The sequence below is a fragment of the Homo sapiens genome, chromosome 19 (genome assembly GCF_000001405.40).
Source record: "Homo sapiens chromosome 19, GRCh38.p14 Primary Assembly".
In the NCBI taxonomy this organism is placed as follows: Eukaryota; Metazoa; Chordata; class Mammalia; order Primates; family Hominidae; genus Homo; species Homo sapiens.
Genome location: NC_000019.10, coordinates 39,995,524 through 40,022,665, shown reverse-complemented (window position 1 = coordinate 40,022,665; position 27,142 = coordinate 39,995,524). Strand labels below are relative to the sequence as shown.

Sequence of the window (27,142 nt, the reverse complement as noted above, 5' to 3'; positions counted from 1 at the left end):
CCCAAAGTGTTGGGATAACAGGCGTGAGCCACTGCGCCCAGCCTTGCTTTGAACATTTCCATTCAACACTCTACAGAATGCCCTAGCCTGTGCAGTATGGCAAATAAAGGAAATATAAATTAAAAGGAACTGTCTTGACAGATGTCCTGATTGCGTTTATAGAAAATTCTAAGTAATTTATAAAAAATAAACCCTGCTAGGCCAGGCGCGGTGGCTCACGCCTGTAATCTCAGCACTTTGGGAGGCTGAGGCGGGTGGGTCACGAGGTCAGGAGATCGAGATCATCCTGGCTAACACAGTGAAACCCCGTCTCCACTAAAAATACAAAAAATTAGCCAGGCGTGGTGGCACGTGCCTGTAGTCCCAGCTACTCGGGAGGCTGAGGCAGGAGAATGGCGTGAACCCGGGAGGCGGAGCTTGCAGTGAGCCGAGATTGCGCCACTGCACTCCAGCCTGGGCGACAGACCAAGACTCCGTCTCAAAAAAAAAAAACAAAAAACCCTGCTAAAGCTAAGTGAATTTAGCAAATCATAAAATGTAATATCAAGATACAAAAATGTAAATACTTTAAGGACAAATTGTTTCTAGGTGTTAAAGAACAGATCATTACAACTCTAAAATCTTATCAATAAAATAAAAAGAAACTATAATACTGCCTTGACTATAGATGAAAAAGTTCTAATTAAAATATCACCAAATGGACTCTAGCAGTATGACAAAAATTGTAGCATATTACAAGAAATGTTTAAAATTTAATAAAGTCATAAGTACAAATCAATACATCAATAAATTTAAGGAGAAAAACATAAAATTAAAATAGATAACAAAATGGCCTTGGAAAAAATTCAGCAGTTTTTAAATTAACAATCACTACAAAAGTAGGCATCCTCCCTCTACCCCTACATATATTGAAGGAAATTTAAAGTCAGCAGAGAATTTATCCCCAAATGAAGAGTGAATATTATAGTAAATGATTAAATGTAGGTTCTTGAGGAAACATAGGACCAAAGAAAAAAATGTTGGGAAATATTCCATTAAATTTGGAAACAAAAGATACCTACTACCATAATATTCAACTGTGTTCTGAAGATTCTAGCTATTGCAATAAGAAAAATAAATATAAATACTGGAAAATAAAATTTTATTTGTGTAATCTGCAAAGATTACATAACTGATAACCTATAAATCTTAAAATGTCTCATAAAGATAGAATGCATGGTCAGACTATATGCATGTGGTGGAAAATACTGCATCAACATAGCAAAGTATCCAGAATGACATTCAAGTCAATTAGAGGGAAGAAAAAAACAAGACAAAAATAATGGAGAAAGCCAAGAATATGAAAGTCAAAGTAAAGGAATGATGATAGGCCAAGAAATACATTTGAAAAATGGCTTAAGTCAAAATTTAGGAATACATACAAAAACATACCTAAACTGAAGCTATAGCACTCAATTTACCAGTTCTCAGGAGTCTAAGAGAACAATTTGGAAATATCTAGTAGGGTATACAGAACCCATGGTTGATTTAGTATTATCTAACATAACTGAAAGAGTGTATGATGTATGAGCAATTGTACTTCCATGTATATACAGCTACTGAAATTCCAATTCACATAAACCAATGATCACAGACAAGGATATTTATTGAAGTATATTTGAAATAGTGAAAACCTGTTAAAACATAAATACCAATGAAAGTTTAAATTCATTATAGTACGTTCAAATAAAAAATTGAGCCATCCTCATTAGTATAGTAGTGAGTATATAAAAACTAAACTGGGCCAGCAATTTATTGCAGAGGAATATGTGAGCAGCAGAGCAATATACAATTCACTTCCTTTCCCAGCATAGCTAAGCATCTGCCATTAGATCTGAATATTCTATCTTTAGGGTCACTCTTTTTTGGTTATGGCATTTCCAGTGTGGGCTCACATCCAAAATATTAGATATTCTGAATGAGACTTCCTTAGTAAAGTTTATCATGCACTAGATAAAATTAAGCAAATTTTCTTTACTGAAAGACTCAAATCTTTTGATTGATAGCCTGATAATAAGCACTTTTTTAAAAAAGGGATTTAGTATTCAAAACTTCACAAGGCTGTGTGCCCACAAACCAATTCTCAAGTTGCCATTAAGTACTACTGTTCCCAGAGATGTTCTTTTAGATATGTTGTGTTAAGGCACTGGTACTTTGGAGGAACAATCCACTGATACATTAACAATATTTTGCATTAATATACGTCTCAAAATACTCTGCTTTTTGTTACATCCAATTATTGTTATTTGTAAAAATAATTTGCAAATGTTGAGCAATGATATAATTAGATAGTAAATGACTTGTACAATGATATATTATGGCTGTCTTATTTGCATAAAATGGACCTGGAGTTGCAAATCATAATGGATCCATGAGATCACAGACATTTTGGTTGACAATGGACATTAGTCCAAGTTGAGGAAAGTGGTAGTATGGTAGTCTTAAAGAAATGAGTTACAATTATTTTTAAGGAAGAATTGAATTTCAACTGTATATATTCACGCAAACCCCTACATGCCATTAAATCTATATATTTTGGTGCAGATGCTTTTGTATTCTTACCGGGAAGGCTTTTCACAAAACTGCTTGATGACTGCCACCTGGTTGGAAGTATTGTCAGATGCCATAAATTGTAAGATACACCTTGATTTCAAATATGTGAAAAATTGTGCTCAGTGTTAAGCATTGAGGAAATTATCATATCCAATCTAAGCCACAATTTGGCCATTTAAAGCTAAGAAAAACTGAGAACATGGATCTTGAAGATACTTGGACTGGATCAGCTCTTCCTTTCCCATCATTAATTTGGAAAACTAGAACAGATCTATCCCTGGACAGTCCAAGTAAACAAATTATTTTGCTTAATTGCTTTACTAGGTTTTTGAATGAATGTGCTGATGGTTTAGAATTTCTGCTTTCTTCGTAATGACTCACCTACATTTTTGCCTTTTAAGAACTATCCTCATCTGTTGTATTATCAGGATTATAATATCAGTGTAGAAAGAGCTAGTGAAATTTTGATATTACTTCCTCCTTGAAATTTTCAATAAAACAAAAAATATCTCCTCCATCTGTACTTACATCCAATTCTCATTCACAATGCTGTAATTATCTTTTTCCTTTGATTAGCTATACTAAAATCAAGTATTAATATTTTTTCACAAAGCCTTAATAAGTCTATTTTATTTTCAAATTCATTAACTCCTTTTAATGATCCTCCCTTCTTTCTTATATTGACTTATTTTTCCCTTAGTTTCTTGAGTTTAATGCTTCTTCATTCTTTTAACAGTTTTATAAGTGATTACTATGTTAAAGAGACAGTATTAAGTCACTGGGAGTAGAGTGGTGAGCAGGAGAAACAAAGTGCTGGCCCTCAATATTTGTTTCCTGAATATATTAACAGGTTACTGATTTTTCACTGAGCACAGGTTTGGCCACATTCACAAATTCTGATCTTACCATTCATTTCTAAATTGTCCTTTATGGTTTCATTTTCTTTTTGATCTAGTGTCATTATATTATTGGAGATTTTAAATTTCCGAAATGCCAAAGTACTACTCTACAGATCGTTTACTAAATTAAAAGAAATATTTAGCTCTACAACAGAGAAACCTGGTGATTACCATATGAAGCAAGTATTTCAGTTACCTATCGCTGTGTGGCAAACTACTCCAAAACTTAGTGGCTTAAAACAGGCCATATTTTAAACGTAAATCTGCAATTTGGGCAGGCTCATGGGGGAAAGCTTTTCTCTGCTCCACTTAGCACCAGCTAGGATAGCCTGAAGGCTAAGGGTTAGAATCATCTGAAGGCTCATACCCTCATACACTTGGTGCTGGATCCCGGCTGTTACCTCAATTACAGCTGTAATCAGGACAGCTTTACTTAGCTTTTCTATGTGATTACTTGGCATCTTCATAGCATGGTGGCTGGGCTTCATCCCAAGTGGGTCAGGCAGAAGCTGTATTGCCTTTTATGACTTAGTCGTGGAAATCACAGTGTTATTCCTGCCATAAACACAGGCCCACCTGGCCAGATTCAAAAGGAAGGACCATGAGCTCTACCTCTTGGGGAGTGTTGGTATCACATTGTAAGATGAACATGCAGAATGGGATATATTGGTGTGGCCATCTTTGGAATGTATGTTCTGCTACACCAAGTGAATGAACTAAGGATACCATAGTGGTATAATGACATTGTATGCCACCTAATGGGTTACAAATTGAAATACAAAATTTCTCCCATTAAGTATTCTTGCCAAAATATTTAATCTGTCCCTAATTGGGTCTCTAATCCCAAATTCCAGTTAATGGGAAATACTGGGGATAAAAAAGCACATTTAAAAATACTTTGGGAAGGCCGGGTGCGGTGGCTCATGCCTGTAATCCCAGCACTTTGGGAGGCTGAGGCGGGCAGATCACCAGGTCAGGAGATCGAGACCGTCCTGGCTAACATGGTGAAACCCCGTCTCTACTAAAAATACAAAAAATTAGCCGGGCATGGTTGAAGGCGCCTGTAGTCCCAGCTACTGGGGAGGCTGAGGCAGAATTGCCTGAACCCGGGAGGCGGAGCTTGCAGTGAGCCAAGATCGCACCACTGCACTCCAGCCTGGGCGACAGAGACTCCATCTCAAAAAAAAAAAAAAAAAAAAAAAAAAAAAGTCAATGTTGCAATAAAGTTGTGGGGGGAAGGGCCATTCTTACTTTAAAAGAGACGAACAATGCACAAATGTAATTCATGAATTTGGTTCCTGAATTTAAAAATAACCTATGAAAAGCATTGTTTACACAAATGAAAAGAATGAACACAACTGAGAATATGAACACAGACTGAATATTACAGATTATGGAATTATTGCTAATCTCCTTAGGTGTGAAGTTACTGGGGGTCAAATCTTTTGGCTTCCCTGGGTTACACTGGAAGAAGAATTATCTTGGGCTACACATAAAATGTGCTAACAATGGCGGATGAGCTTAAAAAAAATCACAAAAAAAATCTCATGTTTTAAGACAGCTTACAAATTTCTGTTGGACTGCATTCAAAGCTGCCCTGGGGCACAGACAGGTTGGACAATTGTTATATAGCAATTAAGTAGGAGGCAGCCTTTATTCTTAGATGTGATGTGTTATAGTATCTGCAATTTATACTCAAATACTACAGCAAAATATGTAAATATTATGTATAAGCAAACCAAATGTGACAACATATTAACAATTGCTGAATCTAGATAGAACATAACTGTTCATTATTCTTTTAAGTTTTCCAAATGGATAGTGGCTGTTTTTAATTTATCATTGTGGGCAGAAAAAGCGACTGACATACCTGCTTTTTGGGTTATAAAAAGAAAAAAGCATTACAGCTATCCCTGAGTCTTCAAAACTTTACTCTCATAATCTTCACACCCATCAAATCTAGAGATTTCTTTCTCACATTAATTTTCAGAGATAGGTTCTGACTTTATAAATGGAAGTTTAATCTATTTTACTGGATATTATCTCCAGTTAATTATTCCAATCTAAATAAGGAGTGAAAGGTAATGGACAGTTTTTACAAATTTCTTACACCCACAGGGCCTTCCTCTCACATGAATGTACTAAATGTATCCCCAATGAAAAAAATAAAGCAATATTTATTGATAAAATGCTGTGTGCCAAATACTCTTTTAAAGGTTTTATCTTTTATTAGCATTTCATCCTCACAAAAATACTATTAGGTGGTACTGTTATTACCATTTTAAAAACCAAGGCACAGGGGCATGTTTTGCCAAACACCACATAGGCAGAGGTGGAATTATGAGAATTATATTATTTATATATATCATAAAGATAGGCCAAGGCTGGTCTTTCCCATGTTCATTACATTAACAGAATCATTTTCCGTTACAGTGCTATATAAAGTGTGGTCCATGTGTTGACACTGGCCCACAAATTGTTTGCTTCTGGTCTCTGCAAAAGTTATAGATACCAAGAGCAAGTATTTAGAAATGTTTGCAGCAATCTGACAGAGTTAACTCAGTTAAATACCATAATAAAAAACTGGGGCTTTTATTTTGTATGTCTGTTTTTTTCTTTTCATTTTTCTGGTAATCTATTTATTTATTTATTTAAGAGACAGAGTCTTGCTCTGTTGCCCAAGCTAGAGTGCAGTGGTGCGATCTCAGCTCACTGCAACCTCTGCCACTTAGGTTCATGCAATTTTCCTGCCTCAGCCTCCTGAGTAGCTGGGATTACAGGCACCCCCCACAATGCCTAGCTAATTTGTGTATTTTAGTAGAGAAGGGGTTTCACCATGTTGGCCAGGCTGGTCTTGAACTCCTGACCTCAGGTGATCTGCTCACCTGGGCCTCCCATAGTGCTGGGATTACAGGTGTGAGCCACTGTGCCTGGCCCGCATTTTATTTATTTATTTAGAGACAGGATCTCACTCTGTCACCAAGCTGGAGTGCAGTGGCACAATCATGGCTCACTAAAGCCATGAGGCAGGGTCTCACTATGTTGCCCAGGCTGGTTTCGAACTCCTGTCTTTCCACAGTGCTGGGATTACAGGTGTGAGCCACTTCACCTGGCCCATTATTATTGCATTTTAGAGAAGCACTGTTCAACAACAGTTTGTAGGGGAAAAGGCCCTTGATGGTTTGGGATGCAGTGCATCAGTATCAATCTTCTAAAGTCTAACAGGGACTGAGTGATGCTATAGTCTTTCGACTCTTTAACATACGAAATAATTTCTGATAAATTGTGAGCATGAAGTAAAAGGGATTCCCACATGTTCCGTAACAAACAGAAAATTTCTTAAATTACAAATTCTCTGCTAAAGGGCATTTTCTAAAGGCCATCGTATTCTCTTTACATTATGCATAGGACTTCCTCACTAATATGATTTCTCTGATGTAAAGTAAGTTGATCACTACGAATAAAGGCTTTTCCACATTCTTTACATTGATAGGGTTTTTCACCAGTATGAATTCTGTGATGTCGAGTAAGTTCTGAATTAACACTGAAGGCTTTCCCACATTCTTTACATTTATAGGGTTTCTCACCCGTGTGAACTATGTGATGTCGAGTAAGTTCTGCTTGAAGACGAAAGGCATTCCCACATTCTTTACAGCTATAAGGTTTCTCACCAGTATGAAGTCTAAAATGTTGAGTAAGATGATACCGACGACTAAAGGTCTTTCCACATTCCTTACATTCATATGGAAGCTCACCAGTGTGAATTCTTTGATGTAATGTAAGTCGATAACTGCAAATAAAAGCATTCCCACATTCATTACATATGTAGGGCTTCTCACCAGTATGGCCTCTGTGATGTTGAGTAAGATGATAGTGCCGACTAAACGTCTTCCCACATTCCGTACATTCGTAGGGTTTCTCACCAGTATGAATTCTGTGATGTTGCGTGAGATGAGTGCTACGAATAAAGGCCTTCCCACATTCTGTACATTTATAGGGTTTTTCACCAGTATGAATTCTGTGATGCTGAGTAAGTTCTGTTTGAAATCGAAAGGCTTTCCCACATTCATTACATATGTAGGGTTTTTCACCAGTATGAATTTTAAAATGTTGAGTAAGATTATAGCGACGACTAAAAATCTTCCCACATTCTTTACATATGTAGGTGCTCTCACTGGTGTGAATTCGCTGGTGTGAAATAAATTGATTGCTATGAATAAAAGCCTTCCCACATTCCTTACATTCATAGGGTTTCTCACATGTATGAATTCTGTGATGTCGGGTAAGTTCTCCTTGAAGACGAAAGGCTTTTCCACATTCGTTACATATGTAGGGTTTCTCACCAGTATGAATTCTGTAGTGTTGAGTGAGATGATAGCGACTACTGAAGGTTTTTCCACATTCCTTACATTCATAGGGAATCTCACCGGTGTGAGTTCTCAGATGTAAAGTAAGTTGATAACCACAAATAAAGGCCTTCCCACATTCCTTACATTCATAGGGTTTCTCACCAGTATGAGTTCTATGATGCCGAGTAAGTTCCGTTTGAAGACGAAAGGCTTTTCCACATTCTCTACATTCATAGGGTTTCTCACCAGTATGAATTCTACGATGTCGAGCAAGTTCTGCATGAAAACTAAAGGACTTACCACATTCTTTACATTCGTAGGGTTTTTCACCAGTATGAATTTTCTGATGTTGAACAAGGTATGAGCCATGACTAAAGGCCTTCCCACATTCATTACATTTATAGGGTTTGACACCAGTATGAATTTTCTGATGTTGACTAATATGTCGTTGTACCCTAAAGGTCTTGCCACAAACCTTACATTCATAAGGCCTCTCACCAGTATGAATTCTTTGATGTTCAGTTAGTTGATAATGAAGTCTAAAGGCCTTCCCACATTCTTTACATTCATAAGGTCTCTCTCCAGCATGAATTGTCTGATGTACTCTAAGGTCTCTAACACGACTAAAGGCTTTCCCACATTCCTTACACTCGTAGGGTTTCACACCAGAATGTATTCTCTGATGTTCAGTAAGGTGATAATGAAGTCTAAAGGCCTTCCCACATTCTTTACATTCATAGGGTCTCTCCCCAGCATGGATTGTGTGATGTACTCTAAGGTCTCCCACTCGACAAAAGGCCTTTCCACATTCCATACATTTATAGGGTCTCTCACCAGTGTGAATTCTCAGATGTTGAATAAGGTATGACTGTTGTCTAAAGGCCTTTCTACATTCCTTACATTCATATGATTTCTCTCTAGCATGAATTTTTGGATGTAGAGGATGAGATATTTGTTTTTGGATTAGCATTTGACTAACGCATCCCATCTGATGTCTCTCTTGTCTCTCAAATTCATGTTTACACTGCAAACCATTTCTGAAAATGGTGTCCTCATGGATGGTGTTTTTACTTTTTTCCCCTGTCTGCAATTGAGATAAATAGATTTTGCAAACATTCTTTTCTGAAAGCAAATTCTTGGTAATATACTTGTATTCCAAATCTGCAAAAAAAAAAAAAAAAAAAAGCAAAGAGTAAACAAATGCTATAATGCTATTTTTCTGTGTTGGGGCAGGGATGGGGGTTGTACCTCATAGTAGAAATAAAAGATAAACAGAAATAACATACATTAGAAATAAATGGTTTAGAGCAGGATTCAACAAACTTCTTCTTTAAAAGACCAGATAGTGAAGGTGTTAGGCCTTGGGAGGCATATGGTCTCTGTCACAATTACTTAGCTCTGTTATTACAGCACAAAAGTAGCCACAGATGATAATAAGTGTGGCTGTGTTATAATAACACTTGACTTATGGACACTGAAATTTAAATTTCAAAAAGTGTTTACATGAAACAAAATCTTGATTTTTTCAACCATTAAAAAAATGGAAAAAACAGTTGTAACTTAAGAGCCATGCAAAAACAGGCAGTGAGCTATTTGGCTCATGGGCTATAGTTTGCTGGTTCCTGGCTTAGAGAACTCTAAATTATTGTAGTGCAATTTAAAAGAAGGCAAAATACCTCAGAAAATGATGTGACTTTTAAGAATTGTAAAATAGGCCGGGTGCGGTGGCTCGTGCCTGTAATCCCAGCACTTTGGGAGGCTGAGGCAGGTGGATCATGAAGTCAGGAGATCGAGACCATCCCGGCTAACATGGTGAAACCCCGTCTCTACTAAAAATACAAAAAATTAGCCAGGCGTGGTGGCGGGTGCCTGTAGTCCCAGCTACTCGGGAGGCTGAGGCAGGAGAATGGCGTGAACCCAGGAGGTGGAGCTTGCAGTGAGCCAAGATTGTGCCACTGCACTCCAGGCTGGGTGACAAAGCGAGACTCTGTCTCAAAAAAAAAAAAAAAGAATGGTAAAATAGGTGAATAGGATAATAGGGTAAATCAGTGATCCGCTTATTTAGGATGGATTTAGGGAAATTTCTTACATATACTGTTCTTCAGGCACCAAACCAGACAAAATCAAAATCTATAGGAGCAAGTCCTGGATATGTGCATTTAAAATCTTTTTCATCAAATGGCTTTGATGGAGATCATTTTGAAAATCTGTACCTAATTCTTTTCCCTTTAGAATAGAGTTTCTCGTTCCCCCTAGAATAAAACCCAAACATATTACCATTGATAAAAACCCCTTTCTTATTTGGAAGACCTCTGCAAACCACCTCTGTAAATATTACAAACAAGTCACTGAGAGGGCAGCTAAGTATAATAACTTAATTTCCCCAAATTACAACATAGTTATGAATATATCTCCCTGATTCCAATCTCATCCTAGTACAGCAATTAAATATGCTCTTTCCTGGATCACTTCCCTTCTGAAAGGGAACAAAGATACATCCAAAATTGCTCAATCAAAAGTATAAATGGAAAAGTCATTTTTGTATTTCATCATTTTCCAATTACCTATTGTTACCTTGAACATTAGGCATCTCCAAAACTGTTTACATTTGCCCTGTGTGTGTGGCTACTGTTCCTTCTCTTTGTCTCTGTCCCAACTCAAGTACTGAGATATTTTATTTGGTGAGCATCAGTTGTTTTATCATTACTCATTCACAGATCCTCAAACTCATTGCTAGTCAAGAATTACACTGCAGGTCCTGGCTAGTAGAGTAAGGCAAGGTGAAGAACACAGGCTTTAGAAAGGAGAAAAATAAACGCCTTTATTCTCAGATGTAGTAGGTTGAATTGTGGCCCCCAGAAAAGACATGTTCCTAACTCCCAGTGCCTGTGAATGTGACCTAATATGGAAAAAGGGTGGGCCCTAAATCCAATAACAGGTGTACTTATAAGAGCGAGGCATAGGGAGATCAAGAGAGGGTGCCATGAAGATGGAGGCAGAGACTGCAGTGATGCGTCTGCAAGCCAAGGAATGCCAAGAATGGCCAGTAACTACTATTCTTTTCATAAATTGTTGGATTCAAATGGCTAAAACTTAGTCTAGAATTTTTGCATTTGTGTACATGAAAGATACTGACTTATAGATTTCTTTTCTTATAATGCCTTTGTCTGGTTTTGGTATCAGGGTAATGCTGGACTTGAAGAGTGAGTTTGGAAGTATTCCCTTATCTTAAAGTTTCTGGAAGAGTTTGTGTACAATAGGTATACAAATGTAAAAATCTAAAACCATAAAATTTCTAGAAAAGCTGGGGGCAGTGGCTCACGCCTGTAATCCCAGCACTTTGAAAAGCTAAGGTGGGCAGATCATGAGGTCAGGAGTTTGAGACCAGCCTGGCCAATATGGTGAAACCCTGTCTCTACTAAAAATACAAAAATTAGCTGGGTGTGGTGGCGTGTACCTGTAGTCCTAGCTACTCGGGAGGCTGAGGCAGAAGAATTGCTTGAACCCGGGAGGTGGAGGTTGCAGTGAGCCGAGATTGTGCCACTGCACTCCAGCCTGGGTGACAGAGCGAGACTCTGTCAAAAAAAAAAAAAATTAGAAGAAAACAGAAAATTTTTGTACTTTTTATATTGGGCAAAGATTTCTTAAATATGACTGAAAGGACAATCCATAAGAGAAAAATGTGATAAATTAACTTAATCAAATTAAGAGCTTATGCTATTCAGAAGACACTGTTAAGAGTTTACAGATCATACATTTGATAAAGGACTTACATCCAGAATATATAAGGGACTCTCAAAACCCAATAATTAGCAAACAACCAATGCAATTAGAAAATGGGCAGAAGGCCAGGTATAGTGGCTCACGCCTGTAAGCCCAGCACTTTGGGAGGCTGAGGCAGGTGGATCTGAGGTCAGGAGTTCGAGACCAGCCTGGCCAATGTGGTGAAACCCCATCTCTACTAAAAATACAAAAATTAGCTGGGCATGGTGGCACATGCCTGTGGTCCCAGCTACTCAGGAGGCTAAGGCAGGAGAATTGCTTGTACCCAGGAGGCGGAGGTTGCAGTGAGCCGAGGTCGCACCACTGCATTCCAGCCTGGGCAACAGAGCAAGACTCTGTTTCAAAAAAAAGAAAGAAAGAAGCAAAGAGAATGAGCAGAAGACTGTAATAGATGCTTCACCAAAGAAGATATATGGATGATAAATTAAGAATAAAAAGTTGCTCAGGATTATTAGGCATTAGGAAAATGAAAATTAAAACCACAGTGAGATACCATTACTCACCTATTAGCAAAGCTAAAATTTAAAAGACTGACCATACCAAAGTGCTAACAAGAATGTCGAAGAACTGGAATTTTCATAAACTTCTGCTGGGAAAGTAAAAAGATACAACCACTTTCTTCTTCTTTTTTTTTTTTTTTCAGACATTATCTTGGTCTGTCACCCAGGCTGGAGTGCAGTGGCACAATCTCGGCTCACTGCAACCTCTGCCTCCAGGGTTCAAGTGATTCTCCTGCCTCAGCCTCCCAAGTAGCTGGGATTACAGATGCCTGTCACTATGCCTGGCTAATTTTTGTATTTTTAGTAAAGATGAAGTTTCACCTTGTTGGCCAGGCTGGTCTTGAACTCCTGACCTCCAGTGATCCACCTGTCTCGGCCTCCCAAAGTGCTGGGATTACAGGCATAAGCCACTGCTACTGGCTGATACAACCACTTTCAAACACAGTGTGGCAGTTTCTTAAAAAATAGACATATATTTATCATATGATCTACCCATTCTACCCCAGACAGTTACCCAAGATAAATGAAAGCATAAGTCTATACCAAGAATTTTACATGAAAGTTTCCAGTAGCTTTATCTGTAATAGCCAAACACTGGAAATAACTCAATGTCCATCCTTATACATAAATGGATAAGTAAATTGTGGTACATCCATACAATGGAATACTACTCAACAATGAAAAGAAATGAAGTACTGATACATATAGCAACATGGATGAATCTCAAAATAATTTTGCTGAGTGAATGAAGCTAAATTTTAAAAATCACCATATTTTTAAAAAAGGAAGAAAAAAATCACCATATAATTCCATTATACAAAATTCTAGAAAATGAAAACTAAGTTATAGTGACAGAGAGATGATCAGTGCTTACCTGGGCAGTGGGTAGAGAGGGACATGAGGGAGGGATTTCTTTTGGAGGTGATGGATATGTTTATTATTTTGATTTTGAAATGGTTTCACAATATACAGGGCAACTTAGCAAATTTTATACTTTAAATGTGTGCAGTTTATTGTATGCTAATTATATGTCAATAAAACTGTTTTAAAATGTTATAAAAATTGACACTTAAAATGAGTACATTTTATACTATATAAATTATACCTCAATAAATATGATTAAGAAAATACACTTGTCCTATGACCCAGAAATTCCACTTCCATATATTCCCAAGAAAAATGAAAACCCAAGAGAAATGAAAACATCTGAACACAAAAACAATTGTACAAGAATGTTCACATCAGGTGGCATAATTTACTTTGGGAATAAACACAGATGGTTCTTCATCTCAGAACCTTTGCACTTGCAGCTTTTTCTGCTTGTAATGTTCTTCCTCAATACTCACATGGCCTGAGACCTTACTTTATGTCTCTGGTTCAAATATCATCACCTCAAAATGGCCTTTTCCTGATCTTATCTAAATTAGCCCTACTAACTCCCCAACACTCTAGCTCCTTACTCTACTTAACTTTCTTCACAACACATATGAAAACTTGATTATTATCTGTTTACGTATTGACAACATGTTTCCCTTACTATAATATCAACATCTCTGTGACAAGAGTGTCTATCAGTAGTGCCTAAACTCTAGCACAGTGCCTGGCTTAGGTTAGGTAAATGGGAAATATTTGATGAATAAAACTTGGACAATGGAGAAATGAATATAAATCAAAATGTTAAAGGAGGCCTGGAAACACACGTAAAATGGTCATCAATGGGGAAGAAAGAAAGCAGCCCCACTTTGAAAGAGGAGAGAAATACGAGAGAAGAGAAACAAGGAGTATGGCAAATTGGGTAAAGTTCCTTTGGTAGCTAATGTAGAGAGAATCTGAATGCTTCCCAGGTATCAGTCCTTTTTCCACAGGCCTCAGGCCTTTGAAGGGAGCTTTCCAAACAACTCAGTGCTGTGCCTCCTCCCTGACATCATGGGTCATAACTTGTGATAGCACCCTCCCGCCTAATTTGCTGTCACTCACCTGTGAACCAATTCCTTGTCCCTTCCCTCATTACTATCCAGGGCTCTTTCTCTTGCTCCAATAAAGTAATCACATCTGGCTTAGGAATGGTATATCCTGCTCATGAGAAAAGAAATGACACATGTTATAGAAAAAAACAAAAACAACCATAACCTTGAAATGACAATTCAGACTTGGTTACATTTGTAAGAAACTGCAGGTGAAAATGGTACTAGACAATGCCATGACAGTAAAGAAGAAAAAGGCCATCTAAGAATATTCACGTTAACATGGACTCACAATTACAGGACTAAAGAGACAAGGTGAGAGAGCGAAAAGGTCTGCTTTGCTGTTAACGGCAGTATAGAAAGGGGACCAGTGAGCACACCCTCTGGAGCCCTATGGCCTGGGTTCAAATCTTCTGCCACCTACCAGCTGTGTGACCTTCAAAGTTACCCTGCACATATTCACTTTTATCAAATGCAAAATGGGGCTGATATTACCGACTTCTTAGGGCTGTGGTGAGAATTAAATGAATTAATATATGCAAAGGCATATAATATGCCCAGTATATAGTATTATTTTGTTGTTGGTACTATTTTCCTAGGAGAAATATACTAAGTTTCCTAAAATATTTCCAGGTTCTTCCTCAGATATTCCTTCAACAGAAAATGTCAATTCACAGACTTTAACTTTCAACCGCAAAGCAGGTTAAGGAGAATATGTCTCCTTTAGGATGGGGTGTGTTGGCTTGAGTTTTAAATGACTATTGTTAACTCAATCCACCACTGTATAATCCATGGAGGTTCTTTTGATAATCAAGGAAAACTAGAATTCTGAGACTAGCTGTTGTCTTGTAGGAAGGTCAGATATTAACACAGAACAGCTATAGGAATTCTGAGTATATGCATTATATGAAATCTGATGTCACACAACTCAAACCTGGAAATTATTTAGAAAAGCAAGCAATGACAGGAAAAGTCAGAGGGAGGAGTGAATGTCACTGAGGGTCAGAAAGGTGAAGTTGCTTAACACAGGTGCCCATTTCCACCCCAACACTGCTGAAACTATGACTTTAGAAATAGGGGTGTCAGTCAGCCTCTTAAAACAGAGTTCTAAAGTTTGACAGTGGAGAAAGCTGATACTCCAGAAAACAGATTGTAAACGATTTCGAAAGATACCTTACCCAGTGAGACCAGGTTGCTGTAGTTCTCCAACATCACATCCTTGTACAAGTCCCTCTGCACAGCGTCCAGGCACTCCCACTCCTCTTGGGAGAGGTCTATGGACACATCCCTAAATGCCAAAGATACCTGAAATGACAAGCCTATGTATTAAAAAAAAATTAAATGTATTTTCAAGATGGAAAACTGCTTTGCAGGAAAGAAGCAACATAGTAAGCAAATAAACTGGGGCTCAAGCCTGCAATGTGTGTAAAAGAATAAAGAAATTAATATTTCTGAAATAAAGTGTTCATACGCTTTTAAAGAATATTGTTGATGCAAATTAAGTGAAATAGCATAAATAAGCACATTGCCCATTATGTGCCTGCAGTTAAAGTTCTGAATAAATGCAAGTTCCATCATCCTCTCTTCCCTTCAAAAAATTTTTGGAAAAAGAATTTTTTCACCAAAAAGTACTCTAAAATCTCTCTTAGAAAACAGGATTTGACTGACATTACGTGATTTCGTTAAAACTCTGGTTCATCATGATGCAAAATAACCTCATAAGAAAAGTCTTCAGTTAGTATATTTATTGGCTAGCTAATAATATCATCCATCTTAAAGATACAGCAGACTAATTCTTCTTTTATTCTTAGGCATTTAGGTTGGCCAAAATGTTTAAGGTCTTCCCCAGTTCTGTTTCCACCCATCATTAGGGATCAGAGCCTATTTCCAGCCATCATTAGGGATTGGAGGATCTTCCTACCTGCTACCCCTGCCATACCTCAGGAATACTTGCTTTGTTCCTAAGCCAGAGGATGCTGACGTATCCACAATGACACTGATGTCACTGGAGACCAGCACAACCTCCTCAACCACAAAATTGACTTTTGTTTTCTTATTCATCCCTTGGAAATTCCCTGGCTAGATGCCTGAAACTACCATATGCAGGCCCCAATCATACTCCAGCCTAGTCCTCTAAGCCTCTCAATGCATGGGATCTGACCTCTGCCTCTGAGGCTGACATGGAAGACAATGTTTGAGCACAGATAAGAGAAAACAGGAGCAAATGAGGAAGACACTAGGCTATTTGGCACTATCCTTCACTGTAACTAGGGAGTAACTAGGGAGCAGGTTCCACAACAGGGTTGTCTTAGGAAGGAAGTCTCAAGATAACGAGACTTCAATGATCACATGAATTTAAAAACACAGTATTTCAAGGAAGAAAAACACAAACTTACATTGGCCATGGTTTTAGAACCACAAGAACTTGTCAGTTCTCCTTGAGTTTCCTCCATGGAGAAGCACAGAATCCAGAGAAACCGGGGCTGGGGGGAAGAACAAGTGACTCTGAGACCAGATGTGTGTCAAAACTCCTAAAATGACTTAAGTTAATAAGATCCTGTTATGCCATCATTTCTACTTCCAACCCCACCATTCTGCGCATATAAACTGGGGAAGATATCTCAATATCAAGGCTGGGGTGGTGTAAATTCATGCCCACGGTTGCCAGGTGATGACAACAAAAGTAGCTATTTTTAGGATCTTCTGCATGATGGGTCCTTTATCATATTAACATTTAACCATGCAATGCATTTATCTCCATCCAACAGATGAGGTAATGAGGGCTTAAAATAATGTAACTTGCCCAAATTCACAGTTAGTAAGAGGCAGAGCTGTGTTCTGAATCCACATTTCTCTAATTATAAAGCAAACTATCTTTTTTTTTTTTTTGGAGACAGGGTCTTGCTCTCAACTCTGGCTTTTGCCTCTGAAGCCCAGAATGTTTTCAAATGAAACTTAAGCATGAGCAATTCACTAAAAATAGCAGCATATCATCCACCGAACTTATTAAATTTCAATACAATGAAGCAGATCCTAATTAAGGAAATACCAGTTGACAATTATTAGAATGGCAGACTTAAAAGATTAATAATATGCCAGATGAGCAACATCACAGGGAAATGAATACTGTGTAAATGCTACAGATTTGTAGGACCTTAAAACATGGCATGTAGAAGGATGTGAGAGACTTTTACCATCCAAACCTAATTTTGGGACTCTACCCAAAGCAAATGATGTGTATTAAGATGCATGCAGGTTAGGCCGGGCGCGGTGGCTCACACCTGTAATCCTAGCACTTTGAGAGACCAAGGCGGGCAGATCATTTGAGGTCAGGAGTTCGAAACCAGCCTGGCCAACATGGTGAAACCATCTCTACTAAAAATACAAAAAAAATTAGCTAGGCATGGTGGCACATGCCTGTAATCCCAGCTGCTTAGGAGCCTAAGGCAGGAGAATCGCTTGAACCCGGGAGGCAGAGGTTGCAGTGAGCTGAAATCGCGCCACTGCACTCCAACCTGGGCGACAGAGCAAGACTCTGTCTCAAAAAAAAAAAAAAAAAAAAAAAAAAAGATGCATGCAGGTTAGGGGTGCAAAAGGCTTACTGGAAAAAGCAAAAATAAAAAAGATGCATGCAGGGAGGTAGAATTCAGCATTCTGAGTCCAGCAATAGCTGACTGGTTAGATAAGTTACAGATCATCTATGAAACAGAATATTAAGTAGATATTAAATACTATACTAAATTGGAGAAAATATTTAAAGGATTTGGGAAATATCCAAGATATGTTCTAAATTAAAAAATAAGGTTAAAACCCAGAATGTACAATATAATTACATTTGTGAAAACATACACACACACACACATACATAAAGAAAGAACGAAGGACAGGCAGAAACTGAGAGAGAGAAAAAAGTTTAAAAATGTATATATCTATATGTCAGCACTGCCAAGCTGCATGACATTACTTGATATATTTTTAAAGTATAATCTGTAACTTTAAAAATTAATTTAGGCTGGGCACGGTGGCTCACGCCTGTAATCCTAGCACGCTGGGAGGCCGAGGTGGCTGGATCACCTGAGGTTAGGAGTGCGAGACCAGCCTGGCGAACATGGCAAAACCCCATCTCCACTAAAAAATACAAAAATTAGCTGGGTGTGGTGGCACATGCCTGTAATCCCAGCTACTTGGGAGGCTGAGGAAGGAGAATCACTTGAACCCAGGAGGTGGAGGTTGCAGTGAGCCGAGACTGTGCCACTGTAGTCCAGCCTGTGCGACGGGAGTGAGACTCATCTCAAAAAAATAAAATAAAAATTTAAAATATACACACCGGCATACATATGTACTTATTTTTCATTTTGATAAGAGAAAGCCTTTCCTTTGTTGAACGATCTTCTCTTCAACTTGAAGGAAAAGCTTAAGATAATCTAAAAACAGCTGATATATATATATATTAATATAGTTATATATATAATATATATTTATATATTAATATAGTTATATATATATTTATATATTATATATAAATACATATAAATATATTTATATATTTATATATATATATTTTTTTGAGATAGAGTCTCACTCTGTCACCCAGGCTGGAGTGTAATGACACAATCTCAGCTCACTGTAGACTCCGCCTCCTAGGTTCAAGTGATTCTCCTGCCTCAGGCTCCCGAGTCGCTGGGATTACAGGCGCCCACCACTGCGCCCGGCTAATTTTGGTATTTTTAGTAGAGACAGGGTTTCGCCATGTTGGCCAGGCTGGTTTCGAACTCCTGACCTCAGGTGATCTGCCCTCTTCAGCCTCCCAAAGTGCTGGTATTGCAGGCATGAGCCACTGTGCCTGGCCAACAGCTGTTATATTTTTACTGAATGTCTTTTTTCCCTTTAGCTCATAACATTGGAAGCAATTCTTTTGATTTTTCACATATGTCCATGTATGCTAATATATTGCAATGTCTTATACATATGAATGCTGGTCACAGTGAAGTGGCTTTTCATGTACTCCTGACAAACGTATTGACAGTTTGTGCTCTGAAATTTTCCTTTCAGCCACAATATCCTCCAAACTGCTGCTGAATAATCTTGTCCCATTAGCCTCACTTTGAATCTAACAATAAAAACTTTGTTTTTGAATCTAACAATAAAAACCCATTAGCCTCACTTTGAATCATTACAATAAAAACTTAAGGTATGAAATTGTGCTGTTCAATACAAATATGGTTATTTAAATCAAATTTTAAGCTGGGCACGGTGGCTCACGCCTGTAATCCCAGCACTTTGGGAGGCCGAGGCAGGCAGATCACGAGGTCAGTAGATCAAGATCATCCTGGCTAACAACGTGAAACCCCGTCTCTACTAAAAATACAAAAAAAATTAGCCAGGCGTGGTGGCAGGCGCCTGTAGTCCCAGCTACTCGGGAGGCTGAGGTAGGAGAATGGTGTGAACCTGGGAGGCAGAGCTTGCAGTGAGCCGAGATTGCACCACTGCACTCCAGCCTGGGCGACAGAGCGAGACTCTGTCTCAAAAAAAAAAAAAAAAAAAAGTTAAATCAAATTTTAAATAAAATTAAAAGTTCAGGCCGGGCACGGCGGCTCACGCCTGCAATCCCAGGACTTTGGGAGGCCAAGGTGGGCGGATCTTTTGAGGTCAGGAGTTTGAGACCAGCCTGGCCAATATAGTGAACCCCTGTCTCTACTAAAAATACAAAAATTAGCTGGGCATGGTGGCTGATGCCTGTGGTCCCAGCTAATCAGGAAGCTGAGGCAGGAAAATCGCTTCCACCCGGGAGGCAGAGGCTGCTGTGAGCTGAGATCTCGCCACTGTACTCCAGCCTGGGCGACAGAGTGAGACTCTATCTCGACAAAAAAAAAAAAAAAAGTTAGTTTCCCAGTCACACTAGCCATATTTCAGGTGCTTATTAGCCACATGTGGTGAGCAGCTACCACACTGGAAAACATAGAACAAATCCATCATCATGGAAAGTTCTATTGGACAGCACTGGACATCTCCTTCCTATGAACTCCCAAGGCCTGTGACCTGAATTTCTTTACTGTTTTTTATTATCTTCTACCTTATACTTATTCAGTCTATTCTGATTTTAGACTCTCTGCTGTACAGTAACACCTATGTGTTTTCAGTTCTTGTATTCCTCTGATTACTAACACAAGATTCAGTATACTGTGAGCCCTTATGTCTGATATTTGACTAAAATTCCAATTTTTGGCATTTTTTTCTTGCAAGTGGCTATTAAAGCATATTAAGACATATACATAAGACATTTATCATATAACAACTTATAATAATCAAATATTAAAAATACTAATAGCTATAGTAGGCAGCAGGTTAAATAAACTATGGTCAGTTATGATGGCACACTAAGGCCTTACTAATACTAACTATATTGGTCCATATTTATTTTTGGAGGAAGACATCAATGATGAGTTACTGACTGATACAGGCAAATTAAAGGAGCATATGCCATTATGGGCAGGGTTATAACGTTGTCATTAATAACACAAACTCTGTTGTCAGATTTTCAGAATGTGAATCTTAGTCTGACAGCTACATACTTTTCAGTTAGTTTGTTGGTAAATTAGGGATAAAAACAGCACCTATCTCATAGGGTTGTCACGAAGATTGAGATAATACATACATCCCACTTAATGATACATAATTACGTAATAAAAGTTAGCCAGTATTATTAAAATAGAGGATATTATGTCCTTTGTTCCACTGCTATTAAATAAAATCATTTTATATTATTTCATTTTTTCTAGTAAAGTTTGAGTCTCATGCCCATTTTTTAATAATGATATTTTAAGTATTTCAGAGCTGAGCCTTGAAGATGCAATTATTTTTAATTAACAACATTCGTAAAACAGACTCCCAGAAAGATAATCAAGAAATCTCTTCTTGGTAGAGCGCGGTGGCTCACACTTGTAATCCCAGCACTTTGGGAGGCTGAGGTGGGTGGATCACCTGAGGTCAGGAGTTCAAGACCAGCCTGACCAACATGGTGAAACCCCGTCTCTACTAAAAATACAAAAATTAGCCAGGTGTGGTAGTGGGTACCTGTAATCCCAGCTACTCTGGAGGCTGGGCAGAAGAATTACTTGAACCTGGGAGGCAGAGGTTGCAATGAGCTGAGATTGAGCCACAGCACTCCAGCCAGGGCAACAGAGTGAGACTTCATTTAAAAAAAAAAAAAAGAAATATCCTCTTTTGTTCTTGCAACTACCAAAGGGGGGACATCATTCTTCAACATAAAACTAGCTAAAATAATCTAATTAAGGCAGGGGTCCCCAACCCCCAGGTCACTGACTGACACTGGACCACGGCCTGTTAGGAACTGTGCCACACAGCAGAAGGTGAGCAGCAGGCCAGCAAGGGAAGCTTCATCTGTATTTACAGCTACTCCCCATTGCTAGCATTAACCGCTTGATCTCTGCCTCCTGTCAGATCAGCTGCAGCATTAGATTTTCATAGGAGTGCGAACCCTATTATGAACTGACCATGTGAGGGATCTAGGCTGCGTGCTCCTTATGAGAATCTAATGCCTGATGATCTGTCATTGCCTCCCATCACCCCAAGATGAGACCATCTAGTTGCAGGAAAACAAGCTCAGGTCTCCCACTGATTCCACATTAGGGTGAGTTGTATAATTATTTAATTACGTGTTATAATGTAATAATAATGGGAATAAAATGCACAATAAATGTAATGTGCTTGAATCATCCTGAAACCATCTCCCTCTCCCTGTCTGTGAAAAAACGGTCCTCCATGAAACCAGTCCTGGTGCCAAAAAGGTTGGGAACTGCTGTAATAAGGCATTCAATAGATAATTTTAATATGAGGTTCAATCTTGTTCTCCTGTTCTATATGGAAAGATTTACATGAATATTTGTAGCTGTTACTATCTTATTCTGTTTTCTTTTTCTTTTTCTTTTTTTTTTTTTTTTTTGAGACAGAGTCTCACTCTGTCGCCCAGCCTGGAGGGCAGTGGTGCTATCTCGGCTCACTGCAACCTCCTGGGTTCAAGCAATTCTCTGCCTCAGCCTCCCAAGCAGCTGGGATTACAAGCGCATGCCACCACAGCCGGCTAATTTTCGTATTTTTAGTAGAGATGGGGTTCCACCATCTTGTCCAGGCTGGTCTTGAACTCCTGACCTCGTGATCCACCTGCCTGGGCCTCCCAAAGTGCTGGGATTACAGGCTTGAGCCACCATGCCCACCCTTATTCTGTTTTCTACTGTTATAAATCTGTCCTAGAAAATGTTATTTGCATAATGGAACCCTGAAAAAAACCTAACCAAGATAAGAGTATTGCTATGTCCTGTAAAAGCAACCTTAAAAATCTAAAAAAAGAGTATAATCCTGAAGAACTATCTTACTTGATAAATTATGTCATATTAATTATCCTTGATTGGTTTATATAACCCTAAAAGGTGTAAATTTCTCAAAGGTTAATCAAACTTAGCAGGATTCATTGGTGTTTTCCTCTTCTCCCTATGTGCACAGAGTTATAAGAAAGCTATGGTTAGGGAGAATTAGTTTTTCTAACTAGAAGCTGGAAAGTCTTGTGTCCTTTGAATAATCAGTTAGTGCAATTTCTATTCTGCAGGAAGAAAAGTGCAGGTGCTGTGCGCACACACATACACACACACATACATACAAGTGTGCTGAAAAATCTTGCTGAAATAGGTCGGGCATGGTGGCTCACACCTGTAATCCCAGCACTTTGGGAGGCCGAGGTGGGTGGATCACCTGAGGTCAGGAGTTTGAGACCAGCTTGGCCAACATGGCGAAACCCCATCTCTATTAAAAATACAAAAAATTAGCTGGGCGTGGTAGCAGGCGCCTGTAATCCCAGCTACTCGGGAGGCTGAGGCAGGAGAATTTCTTGAACCTGGGAGATGGAGGTTGCAGTAAGCCAAGATCACATCACTGCACTCCAGCCTGGGCAACAGAACGAGACTCTGTCAAAAAAAAAAAAAAATCTTGCTAAAATATAGCTCCCCAAAGTGTTAATAGTGATGCTGGGGCTATTTTAACTTTCTTCTTTATAAGTGCCTTATGTAATATAATGAGTAACTAAATAATTTATAAAAGGTGAATATTAATTCTATAACCAGAAGTATACAATAGATCTATATCCAATTATAAAATAAAATGTTTTAACACATCAGAAGCAAATTGGTTTGACATGTATGCAAACAATAGGAAAACAGCATGACCATTATAAATAAATGCCTGCCAGTTCTTGAACATTCTTCTTCAATTCAACAAGACCTTTTCACTGTTAAGATTCTTCTCTTAATACACAAGCCAGGTGAACAGTGTCTGCAGACTGAATAAGAAAATTTGAACAAAGCAGACAGAAGAGTGTTTGGTTCTCCTCTACTTCTCCAGCAAATAATCAGTTGAAATGTTAATTTAGATATAATGCTTGTTAAATGTCTTTAAATCCTAATATTAGTGAGATTCATATAAAATTTAAAATTTGCGGCTGGGTGCGGTGGTTCATGCCTGTAATCCCAGCACTTTGGGAGGCCAAGGCAAGTGAATCACCTGAGGTCAGGAGTTCCAGACCAGCGTGGCCAACGTGGTGAAACCCTGTCTCGACTAAAAATACAAAAATTAGCCAGGCATGGTGGCAGGCGCCTGTAATCCCAGCTACCTGGGAGGCTGAGGCAGGAGAATCACTTGAACCCAGGAGGCAGAGGCTGCAGTAAGCCGAGTTCATGCCATTGCACTCCAGCCTGGGTGACACAGCGAGACTCCTTCTCAAAAAAAGAAAAAAAAATTGCGTATTATTCTTCATCACTATGACTATTACTTTACTCATATGTACTTTTTATTCTTATGACTAACTCTGTATAAAAATAAATCTCAACTCATGGATTCCTTGGAAAAAAATCCCTGCTCATGTTCACACAGATTTCTATGCTTGGACTTCCAATCACATTCCCACTTCTAAAAGCCTTAAAAGCAGGCGACCATTATCACTTGCTTACTGACACTAGTCAGGTCATCTCTAATCCTGTCATATTTTAAAACTGAGGTCTTTGGAGAAGATTGGAGAAGATGGATGATGTGATTCTACCTAAACATTAATCTCAATAAAACAAAGTTTTAACTTTAGACTCCAGGATATGCATTTCTCTACCATTATAGAAAGTGAGTGCAGAGGAATGATTTGAAAAATGAGAAAGTCATTTGGAGGCCCGTGAAGAGGAGGGTCCACCTGCATGGTCCATTGTTCACTGGAAAGGAAGGCCTGGGATAGGTCACTGGACAATTCAGGAAAAGCAAAGCAATGTTTCCATTTCCTAAAAACAAAAACATTTTATGCATTTATTTAAAGATTTACTTAAAGATATAGACCAGAGAGTTGCAATTTATGTGACAAATAATTTAGTCTTTTTAGATTGAATCAAATGAACTTCTTCAAAGGGAAAAATGCAAATGAAAGCTACAGAAAGTACCTGGGGATGTGATTTTTGTGACTGTGAGCAATGAGGTGACAGGCTCTGTGGTAGATTGTGGCTGTGCTTGACATAGCAGTGTGGTACCACGCCGTATGACTGGGTGCAGGCAAGGCTGTGTGAGGATTAGAATGTGTGATTTCCATTTTATGAATAAAAAGGAAATATAAACTTACCTGGACCTGAACTTTTAGACCTGCTACAACAATTGTTCCCTCCTTTTCAGGATCCCTGTTTTGATGAATAGCAGAATGGGGGAAGAAAAATAATCATGAGACAGCAGGCCTTTCTTAAGAGCACAGACCGACCTAGAATATCCCCTCCAGCGCCACATCTGTGCTGACCTCACGCACATAACAGCTGTGTGAGAGTGAGGCTGGGATCTGTCTCTGAACTCACACCAGGTTTCTAGATCAAAGGTATGGGAATGCAGTGGTTCTGAAACATGCAGCTGCCCACACAGCGGCTCCAACTGCGCAGTCTTCCAACCTGTCGTCCCAGGAGTCTGTTTTAGGGACACTTCTAATTCAAAAGTCCAATCGCCAACCCAGGTCTGTACCTTCTTGCTGGGAACCTTCATCCCAGAGCTCGATATTTGACTTCCCTCTTGGGGACACTGCTGTGTGCAAACACCGAGGCCGTGAGGAGGGTAGAGGGTCAGTGACACACACCAGAGAGCCAGGCACCTGTCTCAGCCTCACACCCGCACCCACACCCGCCCAACCCGGTCCTGACAGGCGCCCCGTCGCGCGCACACACACACATACACCGTCTGCCACATTTTGTCACACAATTTCCCTTCTCCGCTCCCCAAGCACGCACAGGCCTGAGGCTCCCTGCGGGCACGACACGCCAGGTCTGGGCCCTGGAGCGCCTCACTTTGGGCGGCAGTTCTATCCCCAGTCCTACTCGTAAGAGTCCCGTTCCGCCTCACCTAGCTCGGACTTCTCGCCCGCAAGTGAATAATAACGGTTAAGGTGACTGAACCGTTAAGAACGCAATGTAAAGGGCCCTTGGGGTCCAGGCAACACTGCCCAAGGGGCTTCTGGGAAATGTAGTCCACAGCCGGAAACTGATCCTTTTGGGCGGAGGCGCAGGCGCGCGCGCATCCGGCGGGTTCGACTCACTTACCAGGAACCCACGCAGGAAGCTGAGGAGGAGAACAGACGCCTCTGGGCCACTGGCCGGGCCACTTGAGCGTGGGACCGCCGAGTGTGACCCTGAGGCCGAGTGCGTGCGGGACTGGGCGATAGCTCCGCCAGGCAGGATTTTGTTTGTTTCACCTCTTGAGGTAGTCCCGGCGTGTAGTACATAATAGGCGCTTAATATGTGTATTGTAAAGAATGAGTGCCTGGCCATTTGTATTTGCCTTGTGAGCGCGTGTGTGTGGCACTGTGAGGGTTGCGGGACCGACGGAACCTCTCTGGCTCTGGCGGGTTGTGTTTCCGCGTGTGTGTAATTTGAGTGTGAGTCAGTGTGTAGTGAGTGAAGGGATCTGACTGGAGAAAACCACAGTAAATACCCGGGGCTGTGATTTTTGTGACTTTGGTCAATGGGACGACAGGCTCTGTGGTAGACTGGCTGTGCTTGACGTAACAATGTGGTACTATGCCGTGTGGTTGCCGGCAAGGCTATGTGAAGATGAGAATGTGTGATTTGGAAAATCTGGATGTGGAACATCACGGGTGCCAGTGGAATTGTGACTCTGTGTGTGTATAAAAGTTTGCAACCATAGGCCTATATGTCTGTGGGATAAAGAGAATATGTTGCGTCTTCTTGGAGTATCAGCTTTATTTAAACATTTGCATCAGAGAGTTGCGATTTATGTGCCAAAGATTTTTGTCTTTTTATATTGAATTAAATGAATTTTTTACAAAGAGAAAAATGAAAATAATAGTAACTTTCAAAAAATATTAAGAATTTCCTTCCACTCTTATATTCTGGCAATGGATCTTTGGCAATGGGTCTTTGGCAGATCAATTTGAAAAGCTTGGACTGAGGAAATTATACTTGGAAAGCACATTAGGCAGTCAGCCCTTGGTTCCTAAATACCATGCTCCACTGAAAGGAGCAAGGCTCCATGGAGAAATGGCAGATTCCAGAGCTGGGGAAGGGAAAGTTCAGAATGAACTTGGAACATCTTGTGCTTGAAAGTAAGGCAGTGCTCAAAGAATGGTGGGGACGTGTTCAAAGGACATGGAAACCAGATTGAAGGGACTTCCACTGACCAAACTTGACATGGTTTGAGCATCAAAATAAATAATGCTAGTTATAGATTAAAACCCATTAAATAACAGAGGGAATCATAATTCCAAACTGATATAAATTAGTACGTGAAAAAAAATTGAAAGTTTGATGAGGGACTGGATGTTTACATTGTTGCAAAGAACCCCTGCCCCCCCCCAAATCCCTTAAAAATGTGTCAATATAAGGCTGGGCACGGTGGCTTATGCCTATAATCCCAGCACTTTGGGAGGCCGAGGTGGGCGGATCGTGAGGTCAGGAGTTTGAGACCAGCCTGACCAACGTGGTGAAACCCTGTCTCTACTAAAAAAATACAAAAATTAG

At 39.4% G+C, this 27,142-nt stretch overlaps 1 protein-coding gene across 2 annotated transcripts, besides 7 other annotated features; it reads right to left on the bottom strand.

The window, feature by feature from the left end:
* Positions 1-1,627: 1,627 nt before the first annotated feature.
* Positions 1,628-25,606, bottom strand: ZNF546 (zinc finger protein 546). 2 transcript variants are annotated; one of them, NM_178544.5, is made up of 7 exons: positions 25,509-25,606; positions 24,751-24,805; positions 24,256-24,418; positions 16,484-16,570; positions 15,266-15,392; positions 14,101-14,196; positions 1,628-9,001 (listed from the first exon to the last, which is right to left on the bottom strand). In NM_178544.5, exons 3-7 carry the CDS (start codon positions 24,337-24,339, stop codon positions 6,885-6,887), a joined length of 2,511 nt encoding a protein of 836 aa, NP_848639.2. In that variant the 5' UTR covers positions 24,340-24,418; positions 24,751-24,805; positions 25,509-25,606; the 3' UTR covers positions 1,628-6,884. The 2 variants fall into 2 exon arrangements, with proteins under 2 accessions (NP_848639.2, NP_001284692.1); NM_001297763.2 differs by having other exon boundaries at positions 24,334-24,418.
* Positions 6,879-8,078: an enhancer, noted in NCBI's record as "P300/CBP strongly-dependent group 1 enhancer chr19:40520495-40521694 (GRCh37/hg19 assembly coordinates)". NCBI's record gives its function as "activates an origin of replication core promoter dependent on BRD2, BRD4, P300/CBP, MED14 and CDK7 cofactors, with strong dependence on P300/CBP, by STARR-seq in HCT116 cells {active_cell/tissue: HCT116}" and the evidence as "EXISTENCE:reporter gene assay evidence [ECO:0000049][PMID:35650434]".
* Positions 24,572-24,671: a silencer, noted in NCBI's record as "silent region_10615". NCBI's record gives its function as "represses an Ori minimal core promoter by ATAC-STARR-seq in GM12878 lymphoblastoid cells {active_cell/tissue: GM12878}" and the evidence as "EXISTENCE:reporter gene assay evidence [ECO:0000049][PMID:35858748]".
* Positions 25,457-25,956: an enhancer, noted in NCBI's record as "H3K27ac hESC enhancer chr19:40502617-40503116 (GRCh37/hg19 assembly coordinates)". NCBI's record gives its function as "activates a minimal SCP1, AML or CMV promoter by ChIP-STARR-seq in naive H9 embryonic stem cells {active_cell/tissue: H9 hESC(naive)}" and the evidence as "EXISTENCE:reporter gene assay evidence [ECO:0000049][PMID:30033119]".
* Positions 25,457-25,971: a biological region, named in NCBI's record as "H3K27ac hESC enhancer GRCh37_chr19:40502617-40503116".
* Positions 25,490-25,784: an enhancer, noted in NCBI's record as "tiled region #7932; HepG2 Activating DNase unmatched - State 1:Tss, and K562 Activating DNase unmatched - State 1:Tss". NCBI's record gives its function as "activates a minimal TATA promoter and a strong SV40 promoter by Sharpr-MPRA in HepG2 and K562 cells {active_cell/tissue: HepG2 | K562}" and the evidence as "EXISTENCE:reporter gene assay evidence [ECO:0000049][PMID:27701403]".
* Positions 25,792-25,971: an enhancer, noted in NCBI's record as "active region_14636". NCBI's record gives its function as "activates an Ori minimal core promoter by ATAC-STARR-seq in GM12878 lymphoblastoid cells {active_cell/tissue: GM12878}" and the evidence as "EXISTENCE:reporter gene assay evidence [ECO:0000049][PMID:35858748]".
* Positions 25,957-26,458: an enhancer, noted in NCBI's record as "H3K27ac hESC enhancer chr19:40502115-40502616 (GRCh37/hg19 assembly coordinates)". NCBI's record gives its function as "activates a minimal SCP1, AML or CMV promoter by ChIP-STARR-seq in naive H9 embryonic stem cells {active_cell/tissue: H9 hESC(naive)}" and the evidence as "EXISTENCE:reporter gene assay evidence [ECO:0000049][PMID:30033119]".

Bases quoted from the DNA above. Each gene is read 5' to 3' on its own strand.
- ZNF546 (NM_178544.5), bottom strand. From the start codon at position 24,339: ATGCAGGTGGACCCTCCTCTTCACGGGCCTCCAAATGACTTTCTCATT. The intron at 15,393-16,483 runs GTAAGTTTGTGT...TTGTCATTTCAG, and splicing joins GTTCTAAAACCATGGCCAAT to GTATCTTTGGCATTTAGGGA. The intron at 14,197-15,265 runs GTAAGGTATCTT...TCTCATGAGCAG, and splicing joins CAGCAACCTGGTCTCACTGG to GATATACCATTCCTAAGCCA.